The 19,547-nt window shown below is 43.9% G+C and overlaps 1 protein-coding gene across 13 annotated transcripts in view; it reads right to left on the reverse strand.

The window, feature by feature from the left end:
* PARN (poly(A)-specific ribonuclease) overlaps positions 1-19,547 on the reverse strand; it is a 194,560-nt gene that overhangs the window by 171,109 nt on the left and 3,904 nt on the right. For all 13 annotated transcript variants that reach the window (XR_007064884.1, XR_007064883.1, XR_007064882.1 and 10 more), the window contains 4 exons: positions 10,781-10,841; positions 3,835-4,000; positions 2,249-2,314; positions 1,472-1,510 (listed from right to left, as the gene is read on the reverse strand). Coding sequence is in view for 9 of the 13 variants with exons in the window: in NM_001134477.3 (NP_001127949.1) it covers positions 1,472-1,510; positions 2,249-2,314; positions 3,835-4,000; positions 10,781-10,841 (332 nt within the window). In the remaining 4 variants the exon portion in view is untranslated. The remainder of the gene's footprint in view (positions 1-1,471; positions 1,511-2,248; positions 2,315-3,834; positions 4,001-10,780; positions 10,842-19,547) is intronic.

A 19,547-nucleotide genomic window follows, 5' to 3' on the forward strand; every position in this document is an offset into this window, starting at 1 on the left:
CTCTCTCTGTCGCCCAGGCTGGAGGGCAGTGGCGCGATCTCGGCTCACTGCAAGCTCCACCTCCCTGGTTCACGCCATTCTCCTGCCTCAGCTTCCCAAGTAGCTGGGACTATAGGCACCTGCCACCACACCCAGCTAATTTTTTGTATTTTTAGTAGAAACGGGGTTTCACCGTGTTAGCCAGGATGGTCTCGATGTCCTGACCTCGTGATCCTCCCGCCTGGGCCTCCCAAAGTATTGGGATTACAGGTGTGAGCCACTGCGCCTGACCAGGACTTAGGCACTTTCTAAAATGTCCTACATCTCAAAATACAGTCAACTCATTACCACAGAGTCAAATCTTGCTTCCAAATATAAAAATGTTTCCTAACTGAAATTGTGAAAGTCTTTTTATTTTATTTATTTATTTATTTTTTTGAGATGGAGTCTCACTCTGCCACTCAGGCTGGAGTGCCAAGCCGCAATCTTGGCTCACTGCACCTCTGCCTCCAGGGTTCAAGAGATGCTCCTGCCTTTGCCTCCCAAGTAGCTGGGATTACAGGCATGTGCCACCATGTCCGGCTAAATTTTGTATTTGTAGTAGAGACGGGGTTTCACCATGTTGGCCAGGCTGGTCTTGAACTCCTGACCTCAGGTGATCTGCCCACCTCGGCCTCCCAAAGTACCAGGATTACAGGAGTGAGCCACCGCGCCCGGCCTGAGTCTTTTTAGATTGCACAGGGCATATAAAGAGGAGGTTTTAGATGGCCAGCTCTGCTGTAGTTTTGCATGGTATTAACAGCTTGCATCAGCCAAGGAGGAGAGGGATCTGGAATGCAGGTGGAGTAGGCTGCAAGGACGACATGACAGGAAAGGAGTGTGGGCAAACTAAACAGCCCTTTCCTGTTGTGTTCAAAGTATATTCCCAGTATACATGTCACTGGTAGATTCCAACAGAAGAACAAGGTCCCCAAAGTCAAATGGAAATGTCCACCTGTCTATGTCAATGTTCAATTTCTGAGTTGAAGACCCACCTGCAAACACAAGGAAACCAAGGGAAACATCCTTGGAAAAATACACACACAAAAGTCTGGATGTTATTTCAGGGGATTCACAGACCTCCTGAAACCCATCCATAGTCTCACCCTAAGTTAAGAACTCTTGCTTTACCAAAAGCATTCATCTGAGTATTTCCTAGGTCTGAAAACCAAATATTTATTGTATACCCCAAAGGACAAAAACACTACCAATCCATAGCTTAACAGATGCACCAAAGTGATAATTATTTTAAGAAGCCTTAAAGCATCTGTTAAAAAACAATAACAAAAGAAAATTAAGTGAGTATTCAACTTAAGAAAGTAGGGGGAACTTCATGTAGTCAAATCACTGAGAACCGCAGAATTTCAAAAAGGAAATGAGAACTAAGAGATTATATTTAGTCTTTAAATCCTGGGTCCCCCACAGAGCTGCTGCATACAATATAAATACTTACTTCCAGCTCAAAGTCTGATAAATTAGTTTTCTTTGGAACCTATAAAAACAAAAGAAAAGGTATTGATTTTGGCTCATTAGAAGTAAATCCAAACTGATCAAGCATTTGTTGAGAAGGATTTCGCTTTAAAAAGAGACTTCATTAGAACTGATAGGTAATTTGCAAACAAAAATACGCAGGTTTTTTGAGGTGGGGGGATTTCCTCATCACTTGTCTTCTAAAATTTTCTTTAATATTATGCTGCTTTTACTGAAGAGGTAGAAGTTCTCGTCTAATCAAAATATTGCTTCCTGCAGCTGCATAAAGAGAGCTTAAAGTAGACAGATGCATTGAAATACTTTTGTGAAACTCCTCACAAAGTAAAAGGAAAAAAAGACAATCACGTTACTGACTCTTTGAAATGCTAATGTTCTCTGAATACAGAGAGAAATTAAAAGGGTGGAAGTAGCCTGAAAGTGAATTCTTTCTTCTGAAGCCTTCACGTATTAAGCGCGCCTCAAGGCCAAATTAATTATGCCACTCTTGGGCATAACTGAAAGTCAAGGTTGCACAACAGTTTTCTCCGCTCCAAGTACAGGACAAAGCATTCATTCAGTGTCTCAGTATACACAGTCATCCCCACTGTGTAACGCTAAAGTTAGTGTTTAATTCTTGAGAACATAGCAATAATAAAAAGACCCTTTATAAAGCTGTTTTTAAAAGACTAGATGCATCAAATGCCACAAACCATCTACCTTTCCAAAAAAAGGACATGCAGAAATGTTCAGGACAACTAACCCGGTACATGGCTCTAAATCCAAGTTCTTGTTTTCTTCACTTTGTAATAAATCCTCTATTTTCTCTCTGAGGAATAAGAATAGACCATAACCATCAGTACCTTTAAGGAATGAAGTCATCAACCAAGAAAATAATCACAACCAAAAACAGTCTAACTATAAGAACATGTGACAATGTAATTCTACCAAATTACCCTAGAAATTTTAGTTCAAAGACTTTTTTAAAAATGCTTTATTTTGACCTAGGCATAGAATCCCAGCACTTTGGGAGGTCGACGTTGGGTGGATCACTTGAGCCCAGGAGTTCGCGACCAGCCTGGGCAATATACTGAGAGCCCCTCACTACAAAAAATAAATCTTAAAAATTAGCTGGGAGTGGTGCAGTGTAACTGTGGTCCCAGCTACTCCAGAAGCGGAGGTGGGAGGATCACCTGAGCCCAGGAAGTTGAGGCTGCAGTGAGCTGTGATCGCATCACTGCACTCCAGCCTTGGCAACAGAACGAGACCCTGTCTCAAAAAATAAATAACATAAAATAAAAAAGCTTTATTTGGCGTATTTTGGGGGGAAGAGGGTTACTGCTGCTATTTATTAGTGACAACTTCTCAAGGACTCGTCAATACAAGTGATTTAATTTTTGACTTTCCCAGTAAAATGGTTACACCAACAACTAAGCTGAGCAAGACCAGACACTTGTCCAAAATCACATCTGCTTGTCGGCACCTTTACTGCAAGCAAAGAGAACATGGACATGCTACAGGCTGGATAAGCCTGATCCACTCCTCTGCCTTCAAGGACATTGGACAGTGGCTGTCAGGTATTCAGTCCATGCAAGTTTTAGAAGTCAGCTGATTAGCATTTAAAAAACAAGAAAAGGGGCTGGACAATGGCTCACGCCTGTAATCCCAGCGCTCTGGGAGGCTGAGGCAGGAAGATCCCTTGAGCTCAGGAGTTTGACACCAGCCTGGGAAACATAGTGAGATCCGTCTCTATTAAAAAAAATAAAATAAAATAAAAAATCCACGCAGGTCTGACCACGTACTGAAATCTCTTGCCTAGTGACATGTAGCAAGTCCAAGTACAATACATGGAACTCTATTTACAATTTGTTGCTGTTACACTAATTTGAATATGCCGGCTAGGCATGCTGGCTCATGCCTGTAATCTCAACACTTTGAGAGGCTGAGGCGGGCAGATCACTTGAGGCCAGGAGTTCGAGACCAGCGTGGCCAACATGGCAAAACCTCGTCTCTACTAAAAATATAAAAATTAGGCGGGTGTGGTGGTGCACGCCTATAATCCCAGCTACTCTGGAGGCTGAGGCACAAGAATTGCTTGAACCTAGGAGGCAGAGGTTGCAGTAAGCCAGGATTGCACCAATGCACTCCAGCCTGGGCAAAAGAGCAAGACTGTCTCAAAAAAAAAAAAAAAAAAATTTTTTTTTTAATATGCCACAATTATATCCTGCCATTCACAACATCACACCCGTGTGTGTACTATGTTTGTAAAGCACAGGTTTGAGATATAGATGCCTGTCATCCCCAATATATAGCACACAATGCACGCTTAGTTTTAATTTAGGAACTTACACCACTTGGTCAATAAACTTCTTTTGATCCTCAGGAATCGTGACAGGACATTTTGAAGTGTTAGGAGATACATAGGACAGAGCTCCTGCACCATTCGCCTGTGAACGTTTTTCATCATACTGCTCTCTTAACTGTCTTTCTTCTTCCTGATTTAAATATGGAATTCCTAAACACGATTTTAAAAAGAATGCATTAGCAGAAGTAACTGTCTAACATAAAATTTGTTTAACAAACCAAAGAGTCTAAATTACTCAGGAAAGATTTACCATATTTAACTACATCTCAAAAAATGAACAGAAAGGCAAATGATTTTGAAATGTGTTTATCATTCATCCATTCATTCAGTCTTCTTTCAAGAAATATTTATCTGGCACTTATGCTGTGCCAAAGCATTATATTAGGCACTGGGGAATGAACAGTGACAAGCTGATGCATCCTGCTCTGTAGTGAAGGGAACTACTTCTGACAAGAAAATCAGGAAAGTCAGGGAAAACCCAAAGGATGAGAATAAGTCGGATACGAAAGGAGCTAGGGGAAGAGTCCTTCGGGTAGGGGAAACAAGTATTAATACCCAGAACATGGAAATGGCTTGGACGGTTCCAGGAGCAGCAAGGAGCTGGTGTGGCCAGATGTCATGAGCAAAAATGGAATGGTACAGCATCACATTGGAGAGAGTATGGAGCAAGATTCTGCAGGCCCTCACAGGCCAGTGTAAGAAATGTACATTATTCTAACAGTGGCTGGACAACATTAGAAGATTTTAAGCAAGATAATTACCTTACCTGCATAATGTTTCAAAGGCCATGATGACTACTCTGAGAGTGAAGTTAGGAAACAAGTCAGGAGCAATTGTCCAGGCAAGAGACAAGAGCTCAGATCAGAGGTCAGCAAACTTTTTCTTTGTTTTGTTTTGTTGTGAGACAGTCTTACTCTGTCACCCAGGCTGGCATGCAATGGCACAATATGAGCTCACTGCAACCTCTGCCTCCCAGGTTCAAGCAATTCTTCTGTCTCAGCCTCCCGAGTAGCTGGAATTACAAGCGTGCACCATCACACCAGGCTAATTTTTGTATTTTCGGTAGAGACAGGGTTTCGCTATGTTGGCCAGGCTGGTTTCGAACTCCAGACCTCACCGCCTGCCTCAGCCTTCCAAAGTGCTGGGATTACAGGCGGGAGCCACGGCCACCGCGCACGGCCAGCAAACTCTTTCTTAAAGGGCTCGATGGCAAATGTTTTAGGCTTGTGGGCAATGGGGGTCTCTGTCGCAATACTCAACCCTGCTGTTGTGGCACAAAAGCAGCCATACACAAAATGTACATGTACGGGCATAGCTGTAGTCCAACAAATCTTATTTACAAAACAAGGAGCCAGCAGTGGGCTCTTGTTTGTAACCCTGGTGTAGAGATGGCAGGGTAGAAGGAGACAGTGATTTTCTAGACATAAGACGTAACACTTACTGATATCCTGGAGATGAAGGATAAAGGGAAAGGCAAAATCAAGAGTAACACCTTGCGGCCGGGCATGGTGGCTCACGCCTATAATCCAACCACTTTGAGAGGCCGAGGCGGGCGGATCACAAGTTCAAAAGATGGAGACCAGCCTGGCCAACATGGTGAAACCCCGTCTCTACTAAAAATACAAAAATTAGCTGGGCATGGTGGTGTGTGCCTGTAGTCCCAGCTACTTGGGAGGCTAAGGCAGGAGAATCACTTGAACACAGGAGGCAGAGGTTACAGTGAGCCGAGATCGTGCCACCGCACTTCAGCCTGGCGACGGTGTGACACTGTCTCAAAAAAAAATAAAAATAAAAATAAAAAAAACACCTTGCTATTTGGTTCAAGCGATTGGGAAGATGGTAGGGCCACTAACTGATGTGAAGACAATGAGGGGAAAAATAGGTATCGGGGTCCAAGGAGTGAAAATCAAAAGCTACCTTTTGGACATACTATTTTTTTTTCTTTTTTTTCTTTTTAGAACGAAGTCTTGCTCTGTCACCCAGGCTGGAGTGCAATGGCACGATCTCGGCTCACTGCAACCGCCACCTCTCGGGTTCAGGCAATTCTCCCGCCTCAGCCTCCCAAGTTGCTGGGATTACAGGCGCCCGCCACCATACCCAGCTAATTTTTGTATTTTAGTAGAGACAAGGTTTCAACATGTTGGCCAGGCTGATCTTGAACTCCTGACCTCAGGTCATCTGCCCATCTCAGCCTCTAAAAGTGCTGAGATTACAGGCGTGAGCCACCGCGCCCTACCACGGACATGTTAAATCATCTAAGGGAATACACAAATTAAAAGCTGCAGTTACAAGCCTATAGCTCAAGAGAAAGGTGTTGAGATATACATTTAGTTATCATTGGGACACGGGTGGTATTAAAATCCATGGGGACGGGGCGCGGTGGCTCACGCCTGTAATCCCAGAACTTTGGGAGGCCAAGGCGGGCAGATCACCTGAGGTCGTGAGTTCAAGACCAGCCTGACCAACATGGAGAAACCCTGTCTCTACTAAAAATACAAAATTAGCCGGGCGTGGTGGCACATGCCTGTAATCCCAGCTACTCTGGAGGCTGAGGCAGGAGAATCGCTTGAACCTGGGAGGCAGAGGTTGCGGTGAGTCAAGATTGCACCATTCCACTCCAGCCTGGGCAACAAGGGTGAAACTCCATCTCAAAAAAAAAAAAAAAACAAAACACCATGGGAGGCCGGGCGCCTGGCTCATGCCTATAATCCCAGCACTTTGGGAGGCTGAGGAGGGCGCATCACTTAAGATCAAGAGTTTAAGACCAGCCTGTCCAATATGGTAAAACCCTCTCTCTACCAAAAAGTACAAAAATTTGCCACGCGTGGTGCCACGCGCCTATAGTCCCAGGTACTCAGGAGGCTGAGGTGGGATAATCACGTGAATCTGGGAGGTAGAGGTTGCAGTGAGCCAAGATCACGCCACTGCACTCCAGCCTGGACGACAGGGTGAGACAGTCTCAAAACAACAATAACAACAAAGCCATGGGACACTAAGGAATTTGTAGAAAGAACAATGAACGTAGAAAACCACCATCAGTCAACGATAATTGCTTAAAGCAAGAACTATCAATAGATGCTAAAACTAACTGGCAAAAAAAGTGGTCCACGTTAACATCACCAGTATTGGGACAAATGACATCACGTGCCTCCTGGTATGATACACGGAGAAGAATACACATAGAGGAGAAGCGGGAAGGCAACAGATAGTGAAAAAGCAATGGAAGTCAACAGATTGCTGAAATAGGTACCAGAGCAAGTGAATCAGAAGCATGAGTAGTACTCTCAAAAAAAGAAACATTAAAAACACTAAAAACAATAAATGAGACCATGCGTAACAGGTCACTCCTATAATCCCAGAGCTTTAGGGGGTGGCGGCAGGAATACCAGGAGTTTGAGACCAGCCTGGACAATATAGTGAGACCCTGCCTCTATAAAAAACATAAAAATTAGCTGGACATGATGGTGTGCACCTATGGTTCCAGCTACACGGAAGGCTGAGGTGGGAGAATCACTTGGGCCCAGGAGGTCAAGGCTGCAGTGAGTCATGAATGTGCCAGTGCACTCCAGCCTGGTGACAAAGCAACATCTTGTCTCAAAAATGGGAAAAAAAAAAAAGAGTAAATGAGAGGTGCAGTTTTTGACCCTAAGACCCATGACGCTGCCATTGGTATAGAGGACTAAAGAGAGATAGAAAGATGCTGACCACCTGGTCAAGAAACAGACCAGAGCATTTGCTGGTTATCCTTGAGGATACTAAAGTCACCCAGAGAGGGGCAGGAGTGGAGAGAATTATAACACACCAAAGCCAAGGCTAAGATGCACGCTGTGCCTACAGGAGTCAGCACAGAGGGGCAGCAGAGCTGGTGACAGCCTGAAAATGGTGGCTCCCGTACAAAAGAAAATTCAGGGGCCAGGCACGGTGATCACACCTGTAATCCCAGCTCTTTGGGAGGCCAAGGCAGGTGGACCATCTGAGGTCGGGAGTTGGAGACCAGCCTGGCCGACATGGAGAAACTGTCTCTACTAAAAATACAAAATTAGCTGGGTGTGGTGGCACATGCCTGTAATCCCAGCTACTTGGGAGGGTGAGGCAGGAGAATCACTTGAACCCAGGAGGCAGAGGTGGTGGTGAGCTGAGATCGCACCATTGCACTCCAGCATGGGAAAGAAGAGCGAAACTGTCTCAAAAAAAAAAAAAAAAAAAAAAAAAAAAAAAAGAAAAGAAAAGAAAATTCAGGTGTCTGAAGGTGGTGTGGGGAAACAAGGAGGACACCTAGCACAGCCTGGCCAGAGGAAGACAAGAGTGAGAGGGAAAACCACCGGGGATGGAGAAGGCTACAGGGGGAAACTAACAAGGAGTCACCTGGTTTCCCTCCAGACAAGGAAATCAAAAGGAACTTGAGAGAAGACTGCCGTAAAGAAAGGGCCTGACATTTACAGAGCCTGAATGGAAAGCCTTGAAAATGGAGAGAGATGAGGGTCTAAGTCAGATTTAGAGCATATCAACAACGGCATGGGATGAGGCTTGGTAGTATGGATGACCTGGGAGTCCTGACTATCGTGACTAAAATATTCCAGGGCATGACTATAAAACAGAAGAAGGAGGCACATTCCAATCTGGCTGTTTCTCTTCTTTTATGGGAAAAAAAAAAAAAAACAAGTTAGAACTATGCATCCATATGAGTACCAGATAAAGTGGTTCCTTCAAGAGATGCTGCCACTAGTCCAATATAGTGCTCTAAATGCATTTGGAACTTATATTTTATAATGGCTTTCAGAGTCAAGTATGAGACGAATAAAAAAAATTCTTTATAATACCCAAACTGTATTGCTCTGCTGGTTCAGTCACTATGTGAAGCAGTTTTGGCTCAAAACAAGTTTGTTTTTATTACCTCCGAAGATCAAAATCAGTAAAAATTAAGATGCAGCATCACTGAAACAATTAAAAAACAATATGGGCCAGGCCCGGTGGCTCATGCCTGTAATCCCAGCACTTTAAGAGGCAAAGGTAAGTGAATCACTTGAGGTCAGGAGTTCAAGACCAGCCCAGCCAACATAGTGAAACCCCATCGCTACTAAAAATACAAAAATTAGGTGTGCGTGGTGGCATGTGCCTGTGGTCTCAGCTACTCGGGAGGCTGAGGCACGAGTATCACTTGAACCTGTTAGGTGGAGGCTGCGGTGAGTCGAGATCATACCATTGCACTCCAGCCTGGGCGACACAGTGAGATTCTGTCTCAAAAAAAAAAAAAAAACACCACCAATATGGCATGGGTACTAAACACCTTGCAAAGAGGTTCTGCTGAGAATAGGAGAATTCATTTGAAGTCCATGTACTTTTTTTTGAGAAAAGTTCAGTTATTTTTGTTGGGATAAACCTCCTTCCCTCTTTCATTCATTAATTCTACATTCACCATGGGGGAAAAAAAACAAAATTTATGTAAATAATTAAATTAAAATATTGACCTTGTACATACTTAATACCACTGCAAAAAGCACAGTCTTTCCAAACACTTTTAGAGAAACAAATGGAGAGGAAGGAAAACCAATCTGAAATGTTCTAATGTCCAGTAGTCATGCACCCATTTATGCATCAAATATTTGGTGGTCACCTCCCTGATGTAGAAGAGAAATCATGCTATGCAAGGGGATGTGAAAAGAACAAGACACAATCCCTTCCTCAGGTGCTCCCCAGGCCATCACTCTAGCAAGTTAGCCATTATCAATCGTGCAGTCTCTGCACTTTTCTTCTCCCATAAGAAACTAAGAAACTGTCTCCAACTACTAAAAAAGCAACAGGTAGGCAGGGTGTGGTGTCTCATGCCTGTAATCCCAGCAGGCTGGGAGGCCAAGGCAGGTGGATTGTTCGAGGACAGGAGTTTGGGACCAGCCTGGGCAATGGCGAAATCCCATTTCTACAAAAAATTCGAAAATCAGCCAGGCATGCTGGTGCACAGCTGTAGTTCCAGCTACTTGGGAGGGTGAGGTGGGAGGATCATTTGAGCCCAGGAGGTCAAGGCTCCGGTGAGCTATGATTGCACCACTGCACTCACCCTGGGTGACAGAGTGGGACCCTGTCTCAAAAAAAAAATTAAAAATAATTCCTGCCAGCAGAGGGGTTATAAAAAATAAACATAAAAAATAAAATAAACATAAACATGCACTAGCTGGAAAAGAGGGTTTTCATTACAGCATCAGTGGAATACAGGACATTTCTAAACTACATACCTCTTGTTACACTGGAAGAAAACAAGGAAGCACTCCCCACAGGTGGTGAGTTAGGCCACTATATCACGCCAGTGGTAGAATAAACTGCACTCGATAAAAACAGGAGTTTGAAAGGCCTTATCAGAGTTAAATGAAGTAGTATCTATTCTGTTTAGCTCATGGCTGATTATGTTTTTTGTTTTTTTTTAAAAAAAAAAAAAAAAGATCACAGTAGGCCAGGCGTGGTGGCTCACACTTGTAATCCCAGCATTTTTGGAGGCCAAGGTGGGCAGATCACGAGGTCAGGAGATCGAGACCATCCTGGCTAACACGGTGAAACCCTGTCTCTACTAAAAATACAAAAAATTAGCCAGGCGTGGTGGCGGGCACCTGTAGTCCCAGCTACTCGGGAGGCTGAGGTAGGAGAATGGTGTGAAACTGGGAGGCAGAGCTTGCAGTGAGCCGAGATCACACCACTGCACTCCAGCCTGGGCAACAGAGCGAGACTCTTCTCAAAAAAAAAAAAAAAAAAAAAATCACAGTAAGCAAGTTTTTAAAAATTCTAAGGCTGCATATGTGTACTGGCTGCACATGTATGCTGGAACTCTAAGACTGTGTCTCAGCAGGCACAAAATAATAATTCTCAACCAAGTTCAGACTTACTTCCCAAGGATATTTTGAAGGTTTATAAGCTCTAAAGATAGGTTACCCATAATCTTACCATTTCGAAAAACTTTATTAAAATCAAATCCCTGGCTTGCTAGAAAGTCAATGCTGGAGCTCTGAAACAGAGTAAACAGAACACATGTTTTGGGGATGTTAGCGGCAGGAATATAAAGAGATGCAGAGAAGTAACTCAAACAAGAAAACAAAGACAATATGGGAAGGAAGCGATGTGCCAGAGGTCACAATACAAGGAATTTCTACTCCACAAACAATCCATTAACTTGCTTAAAACATTTGGGCTCTTCTCCTTTATAGCTTACAAAACAAACATCCTTTGTTTCACAATTTTTTTTTTATAGACAGGGTCTCACTATGTTGCCCAGGCTGGTCTCAAACTTCCGGACTCAAGCAATCCTCCTGCCTCGGCCTCCCAAAGTGCTGGGATTACAGATGTGAGTCACCACATCCAGCCTACTTCATAATATTTTTTAAAAATCTACTGGGTAGACCGGCACAGTGGCTCATGCCTGTAATCCCAGCACTTTGGGAGGCAGAGGTGGGCACATCACTTGAGGTCAGAAGTTCGAGACCGGCAGGTCAGAACTTTGAGAACAGCCTGGTCAACATGGTGAAACCCTGTCTCTACTAAAAATACAAAAATTAGCCGGGTGTGCCAGGCGCGGTGGCTGACACCTGTAATCCCAGCACTTTGGGAGGCCAAGGCGGGTAGATCACGAGGTCGGGAGATCAAGACCATCCTGGCTAACATGGTCAAACTCCGTCTCTACTAAAAATAAAAATAAATTAGCCAGGCGAGGCAGCATGTGCCTCTAGTCCCAGCTGCTGGGGAGGCTGAGGCAGGAGAATGGCGTGAACCCGAGAGGTGGAGCTTGCAGTGAGCCGAGATCATGCCACTGCCACTGCACTCCAGCCTGGGTGACAGAGCAAGACTCTGTCTCAAAAAAAAAAAAAAAAAATTAGCCAGGTGTGGTGGTGTGTACCTGCAATCCCAGTTACTCAGGAGGCTGAGGCAGGAAAATTTCTTGAGTTTGGGAGGTGGAGGTTGCAGTGAGCCGAGAGAGCCACTGCACTCCAGCCCAGGCGAGAGAGCAAGACTGTCTCAAAAAAAAAAAAAAAAAATATTCCACTGGGCGAACGGATTATTCTCCCAATAGGCAGAAAGCTCCTGATCGCTTGACTGTTGCAGTACTGACTAGGAAACTATAAATAGAACTAGTATGTATTTTATTACCCTGTCCCAGGTTCAAGTTTAACACAGGCACATGCACAGGTTATAAGACACTGACATCCACCTCAAATTAGATAATGAAAGCCCAAAATCTTAATTAAATGTTCTCAATGTTGAAGATCAAAAGAGAAACCAGGCACGGTGGCTCGCACCTGTAATCCTAGCACTTAGGGAGGCCAAATGAGGAAGATCGCTTGAGCCCAGGAGTTAAAGACCAGCTTGGGCAAAACAGTGAGATCCTATCTCCACAAAAAATTTAAAAATTAGCCAGGCATGGTAGCACATGCCTGCAGTCCCAGCTACCCAGGGGCTGAGGTAGGAGGATCACTTAAGTATGGAAGGTGAGGAGGTTGAGGCTGTAGTGGGCTACCATCATGCCACTGCACTCCAGCCTGAGTGACAAAGTGAGACCTTGCCTCAAAACAAAAAAGATCAAAAGGAAAGTTCCCAATAATAAGCCTTACGAAACAAATATATCTCGAACCTAGCATGAGCCAAAATATGTTCCCAGATTTAAATAAAAACATTAGACTGGGCTGGACATGGTGGCTCACACCTGTAATCCCAGCACTTCCGGAGGCTGAGGTGGTTGCATCGCTGGAGCCCAGGAGTTTGTGTGACCAGCCTGGGCAACATGGCAAGACCCCATTTCAATTAAAAATAATAATAATAAAATTATTTTAAAATAAGTATATATTAGGCTGGGTGCAGTGGCTCACACCTGTAATCCCAGCACTTTAGGAGATGGTGGGAGGATCGCTTGAGCCCAAGACTTCGAGACCAGCCTGAGTAACATAGGGAGACCCATCTCTACAAAAAATTTAAAAATTAGCCAGGTGTGGTGGTTCCCATCTGTAGTCCCAACTATCCCACAGGCTGAGGTGGGAGAATCAGAAAATCATTTCAGCCCAGGAGTTCAAGTCTGCAGTGAGCTGTGATCACACCGCTGGACTCCAGCGTGGGTGACAGAACAAGTCTCTGCCTCTTAAAAAAAAAACAAAAAACAGGTTGAGTGTGATGGCTCATGCCTGTAATCCCAGCACTTTCGGAGGCTGAGGCAGGCGGATCAAGAGGTCAGGAGTTCGAGACCCGCCTGACCAACATGGTGAAACCCCGTCTCTACTAAAAATACAAAAATTAGCCAGGCGTGGTGGTGCACGCCTGTAATCCCAGCTACTCAGCAGGCTGAGGCAGGAGAATGGTGTGAACCCAGGAGGCAGAGGTTGCCATGAGCCGAGATCATGCCACTGCACTCCAGCCTGGGTGACAGAGCAAGACTCTGTCTCAAAAAAAAAAAAAAAAAAAAAACACTGGCCGGGCACAGTGGCTCATGCCTGTAATCCCAGCACTTTGGGAGGCCCAGGCGGGCAGATTACAAGGTCAGGAGATCGAGACCACCCTGGCTAACATGGTGAAACCCCGTCTCTACTAAAAATACAAAAAATTAGCCAGGCGCGGTAGTGGGCACCTGTAGTCCCAGCTACTCGGGAGGCTGAGGCAGGAGAATGGTGTGAACCAGGGAGGCGGAGCTTGCAGTGAGCTGAGTTTGTGCCACTGCACTCCAGCCTGGGCGACAGAGCGAGACTCCATCTCAAAAACAAAAAACAAAAAACACTGTATTAAGTGAACAATACTATAGATGAAACACAAGCACGGCAAAATTATGGAGTTCATACTCAAATGAACTTAAGAAATAAGCATTACTGTAGCTACTCTAATTTTATTCTTGGCCAAGTCAGAACATCAGCAGGCTACACATCTGAATCATTTTCATCTGGTCCCTTTCCTGCACTGTACTTTGACATTATGCCATCAGTCTAGATTGAAGGACATGGTAACAAACAGTTCCATTAAACTTATCACAGTACTGACTTCAGAGATGTGATTGAAGATCAGGTTTTCTACAGTAATCATTTACTTATAATTCAAGGGTAAATGTTCTGAGGTCTCTATTCTGGGGAAAGCTATACTAATCCTGAGTTCTGGATTGTCCTAATCCTATGGACCACGGAATGACTGTGTTTCCCTCTTTTCTTTGCTACTAGGAAGCTCAGGGACAAACAAATTACACTTTCTTTGGCACAAATTCTGTGTTCTATTCATACCATAGTGATTGTATCATTTTTCTTTTCTTTCAAATTTTCATTTACTAATTTTTTAATCTTATGTTAAAAGGTAAATACCGTATATATCTTTAATAACCAAAACAAATCGTTTTGAAATGGTGAGATATAAAAAGACAATCTGAACACAGAAAAACACACAAACAAATAGAAGCACATGCAAATCACTTCCATCGTGTCCAGGCTTTTATACTTTACAACAAGCAATCTTTCCCTACCCCCACTTCTTTTTTAATCCTGTCCTGAACCAAGAACCAAGACTCAATGTATTTTGATTGGTCTGTGGGCTTCTGTCTACCATGGCTGGAGTGTTCTTATAACTCTGCCCACCTAAACATTCCATCTCTGACAAAGGCACTGAAACACAAACTGTGGAAGGCATTTTTGTCCTTCTAGTACTAGACACCAAAACATCCTACTTTCCTTTATCCCACTGAATTCAAAGTCAGAGTCATCTATGCCTTTCCTGAAGCTGCTTATTTTCTAATCAAAACAACACTCTTTGGGTTGTACAATAGTGTCAATGTACTTAATGCCACTGAGCTATACATTTAAATACGGTTAGAATAGTAAAATTTATGTTACATATATTTTACCACAATTTTTAAGAAAACCTCTGAACTTGGCCAGACACGGTGGCTCACGCCTGTAATCCGAGCACTTTGGGAGGCGAGGCAGGCAGATCACGAGGTCAAGAGATCAAGACTATCCTGGCTAATACGGTGAAAACCCTGTCTCTACTAAAAATACAAAAAATTAGCTGGGCATGGTGGCAGCGCCTGTAGTCCCAGCTACTTGGGAGGCTGAGGCAGGAGAATGGCGTGAACACGGGAGGCAGAGCTTGCAGTGAGCCAAGATCGTGCCACTGCACTCCAGCCTGGGCGACAGGGGCTTCGTCTCAAAAAAAAAAAAAAAAACCTTTGAACTAACAAAACCTTTTGGAGTTTACTAGCCACTACCTTTGATTTGTCATAAATGTAACATGTTCAAGATTGAAGAGATGAGGCTGGGAGCAGTGTCTCACGCCTGTAATTCCAGCACTTTGGGAGGCCAAGGCGGGTGGATCACTTGAGGTCAGGAATTCGTGACCAGACTGGCCAACATGGTGAAACTCTGTCCCTACTAAAAATACAAAAATTAGCCAGGCATGGTGGCACGCATCTGTAGACCCAACTACTTGGGAGGCTGAGGCAGAAGAATCACTTGAACTCGGGAGGTGGAGGTTACAGTGAGCCAAGATAGTGCCACTGCACTCCAGCCTGGGTGACAGAGTGAGACTCCGTCTCAAAAAAAATAAAAAGATTCAAGACATGAGAACAGATATTTGGGAGGACAATTTGAGACATCCATCAAAACTTTAAATGCATATATCCTATGTCTCAACAACTCTCCTTCTAGGAAATCTACAATACAAAAAAATTCTTACACATACAAAAAGATATACTGAACACAGATGTTGACTATAGAATTGCTGATAACCACTGGAAAGCCTCCAAATTTCAATTAACTGATCAAACAAATTATACGTATCCATACTACGAAATAAAAGACATTCTGCTGAGTGGCAAGTGCGAGTTGCATAAAATGTGAAATTAGGATTCCATATATATATATTTGAGACGGAGTCTCGCTCTGTCACCCAGGCTGGAGCGCAGTGGCGCGATCTTGGCTCAGTGCAAGCTCTGCCTCTCGGGTTCACACCATTCTCCTGCCTCAGCCTCCCGAGTAGCTGGGACTACAGGCGCCCGCCCCCACGCCTGGCTAATTTTTTTTGTATTTTTAGTAGAGACGGGGTTTCACCGTGTTAGCCAGGATGGTCTTAATCTCCTGACCTCGTGATCCGCCCGACTTGGCCTCCCAAAGTGCTGGGATTACAGGAGTGAGTCACCACACCCGGCCCATTTTTTACAATGTAAGCCTGGCGCAGTGGTACGTGCTTGTAATCCCAGCACTTTGGGAAGCCAAAGTGGGCAGATCGCTTGAGCCCAGGAGTTCAAGACGAGCCAAGGCAACATGGTAAAACCTTGGCTCTACAAAAAATACAAAAATTAGCTGGGCATGGTGGCATGTGCCTGTAGTTCCAGCTACTGAGGAGGCTAAGGCAGGAGGATCACTTGAGCTGGTGAGGTCAAGGCTGCAGTGAGCCATGACAACATCACTGCACTCTAGCCTTGGTGACAGAGACTCTGTCTCCAAAAAAAAAAAAAAGCTAATATGTATGTGTGTCTAGGCATATGTCTATATGTATACATGTACATAAAAGCTAGGAAAAAAGGAGTAAAATGGGAAGGAAGTGGCATGGGAAAAGGATATAAGAAGGGAAACACAGCCAGGCACCATGGCTAATACCTGTAATCCCAGCACTTTGGGAGGCCGAGGTGGGCAGATCACGAGGTCAAGAGATCGAGACCATCCTGGCCAACATGGTGAAACCCCGTCTCTACTAAAAATACAAAAATTAGCTGGGCGTGTTAGCACATGTTTGTAGTCCCAGCCACTCCAGAGGCTCAGGCAGGAGGATCGCTTGAACCCAGGAGGTGGAGGTCGTGGTGAGCCAAGATCGCACCACTGCACTCCAGCCTGGAAACAGAGCAAAACCCCATCTCAAAAACAAAAAAAAAGAAAAGAAAAAAAAAAGAAACACATCTGGCCAGGCGCGATGGCTCACGTCTATAATCCCAGCACACTGGAAGGCCAAGGCGGGTGGATCACCTGAGGTCAGGAGTTTGAGACCAGCCTGACCAATATGGTGAAACGCTGTCCCCATTAAAAATACAAAAATTAGCAGGGCGTGGTGGCAGGTGCCTGTAGTCCCAGATACTCAGGAGGCTGAGACAAGAGAATTGCTTGAACCCAGGAGGCAGAGGTTGCAGTGAGCCGAAATCACACCACTGCACTCCAGCCTGGGCGACAGTGTAAGGCTCCATCTCAAAAAAAAAAAAAAGAAAAGAAACACATCTGTTACTCTACATACAGCAGTTATGCTTCAATTTTTCACAACCATATATATAAAATACCTTCTATGAATTCAACTACAGATCTTCAGCCTGAAAAAGGAAGAGGAAGAAAAGAAAAAGGAGAAGACAAAAATGATGTAAATGTCATGCTATGCTGACTGCCCTACTATTCTACAAACACACTCTTCTGGGTGTGAGTGTGGTTCTGTCAGCCCATTCCTCCACATCTTGACAAGCATATGGGAGCATCTCACTGCGCACACAGGGTCTTATTTTTTAAAGAACATATTAAATTGTTGTATCCTCAAATCCTATATGCTTTAAGGGTGATAAGAGCTTTCTGAGAGAGATTTTGACCCAATTTTCACCCTACTTAATAACTCCAGAAACTAATGCCCTTGTATGCAACTCTGCTACAACTATAGAATTTTAAATAAAACAAAAACCTTAAATGAGAGACCAAAGAAAATCCAAAAATACATTAACCTTTTCATACAATTCCCAAATTTAGAGTCTAAACCTTTTCTCTGCCTTTGCTTTTCCACACTAGAGAATCCCGGCATTTTTATTCATCTGTTTTAGACATTACTCTCTGGGCTATCTTCAAGTCTATGATAGCTTTTTTTAAAGGAGTGGCTGGCAACTACAACTGTATTAAGTATTCCAGGTGTACAATCATGGTTTGTACAATGGGTGAAGTTCCTCTGATCTGTTTCCAATACATTTCTCAAAATAACCAGTTTTGTCTTGGTTGTTTAGAACAGAGTGCCATCGGCCAGATGTGGTGGCTTACGCCTGTAACCCTAGCACTTTGGGAGGCCAAAGTGGGAGGATCACCTGAGGTCAGGAGTTTGAGACCAGCCCGACCGACATGGAGAAACCCCATCTCTACTAAAAATATAAAATTAGCCGGTGTGGTGGTGCATGCCTGTAATCCCAGCACTTTGGGAGGCCAAGATGGGAGGATCACCTGAGGTCGGGATTTCAAGACCAGCCTGACCAACATGGAAAAACCCTATCTCTACTAAAAATATAAAATAAGCCGGCGTGATGGTGCATGCCTGTAATAACAGCTACTCAGGAGGCTGACGCAGGAGAATCACTTAAACCCGGGGCTTTAGCCTGGGCAACAAGAGCGAAACTCCATCTCAAAAAAAAAAGAACAAAGTGCCATCCCCAAGGTGTCTCATTGCCACCCTCTGCTTTTGTTTGATTAACCCCTGGCCAAAGCCATGGAACCCACTTTAAATAATTCTGTGTTGCTGGTACTGCTAGAAAACTATATCCACACAAATTTCCCAACTGAGCCTACTTTTCCCTCAATGAAAATTTACCAAAAAAAAAACAAAACAAAACAAAACTGTAAGGCCGGGTGCGGTGGCTCAGCACTTTGGGAGGCCAAGCCGGGCAGATCACCTGGGGTCGAGAGTTCGAGACCAGCCTGATCAACATGGAGAAGCCTCACCTCTACCAAAAATACAAAATTAGCTGAGCATCTTGGTGCATGCCTGTAATCCCAGCTACTCGGGAGGCTGAGGCAGGAGAATCGCTTCCACCCAGGAGGCAGAGGTTACAGTGAGCCTAGATCATGCCATCACACTCTAGCCTGGACAAGAAGAGCGAAACTTCATCTCAAGAAAAAAAAGAAAAGAAAATTTATAAATACTCTTTAAGTATCCCATACCACGGTGATTGACAAATAGCTATTAACTGATTGCAGGGTAAAGGTAAAATGTCAACTGGTTTACTTGCTAATTTAGGAAACTGTCTATAAGACCAGAATTTAACCTTCACCTTTTCTCTTTTGCCCATAAGCATATGATTAACTCTCGATTTCATTTGTTTATATACTGCCAGTTTTGAGAAAGAATTTGACATAACTCAATCACTTGAAGCCTACCCTCGAGGCTTTCATAACTGCATTACCATTAATCTGCAAGAGAAGGGAAAGATGGCAAGACTCAAATGAATTCATGTTTTTAGTGGGAGAGAAGATAGGATGCAAGATTTTAAGGGAGAAAAGATTAAGACTTATCTTTAATCACATAGCCACACAACCATACCCCTTACTCACATTCTCCTTATCCATTACAACAGATAATCAAAAGAGCAGAAAGGAAACAGTGATATTTACTGAGTGTCTACCAGGTCAGCTACAACACCTCTAGAGGGAATATCCTGAAGGAGAACCTCCCTAATATTGACCCATCAATTAAGCTCTCTTCTCCTCAAGAGAAACAGTAGTTTTTTTTTCTACCCCCCTTTCCTAATTAGTGAGCTTGAGAAAAGGAAGTCAGCATAAATACTTGAACCCCTTCTGCGCTTTCTCTTTTTGCATAGGATACACACATACTCTGCTTTTCCAGAAAATAAAGGTCTACACCCTCAGAGTGGATGCGAGGAGAATGAGTGAGGATAGGGAGAAGCCTCCAAGTCTTTTGTTTATTTTAATTTTTATTTTAAAATAGAGATGAGGTTTCACTATTTTATGCC

This window comes from Homo sapiens, chromosome 16 (assembly GCF_000001405.40).
Source record: "Homo sapiens chromosome 16, GRCh38.p14 Primary Assembly".
Classification (NCBI taxonomy): Eukaryota; Metazoa; Chordata; class Mammalia; order Primates; family Hominidae; genus Homo; species Homo sapiens.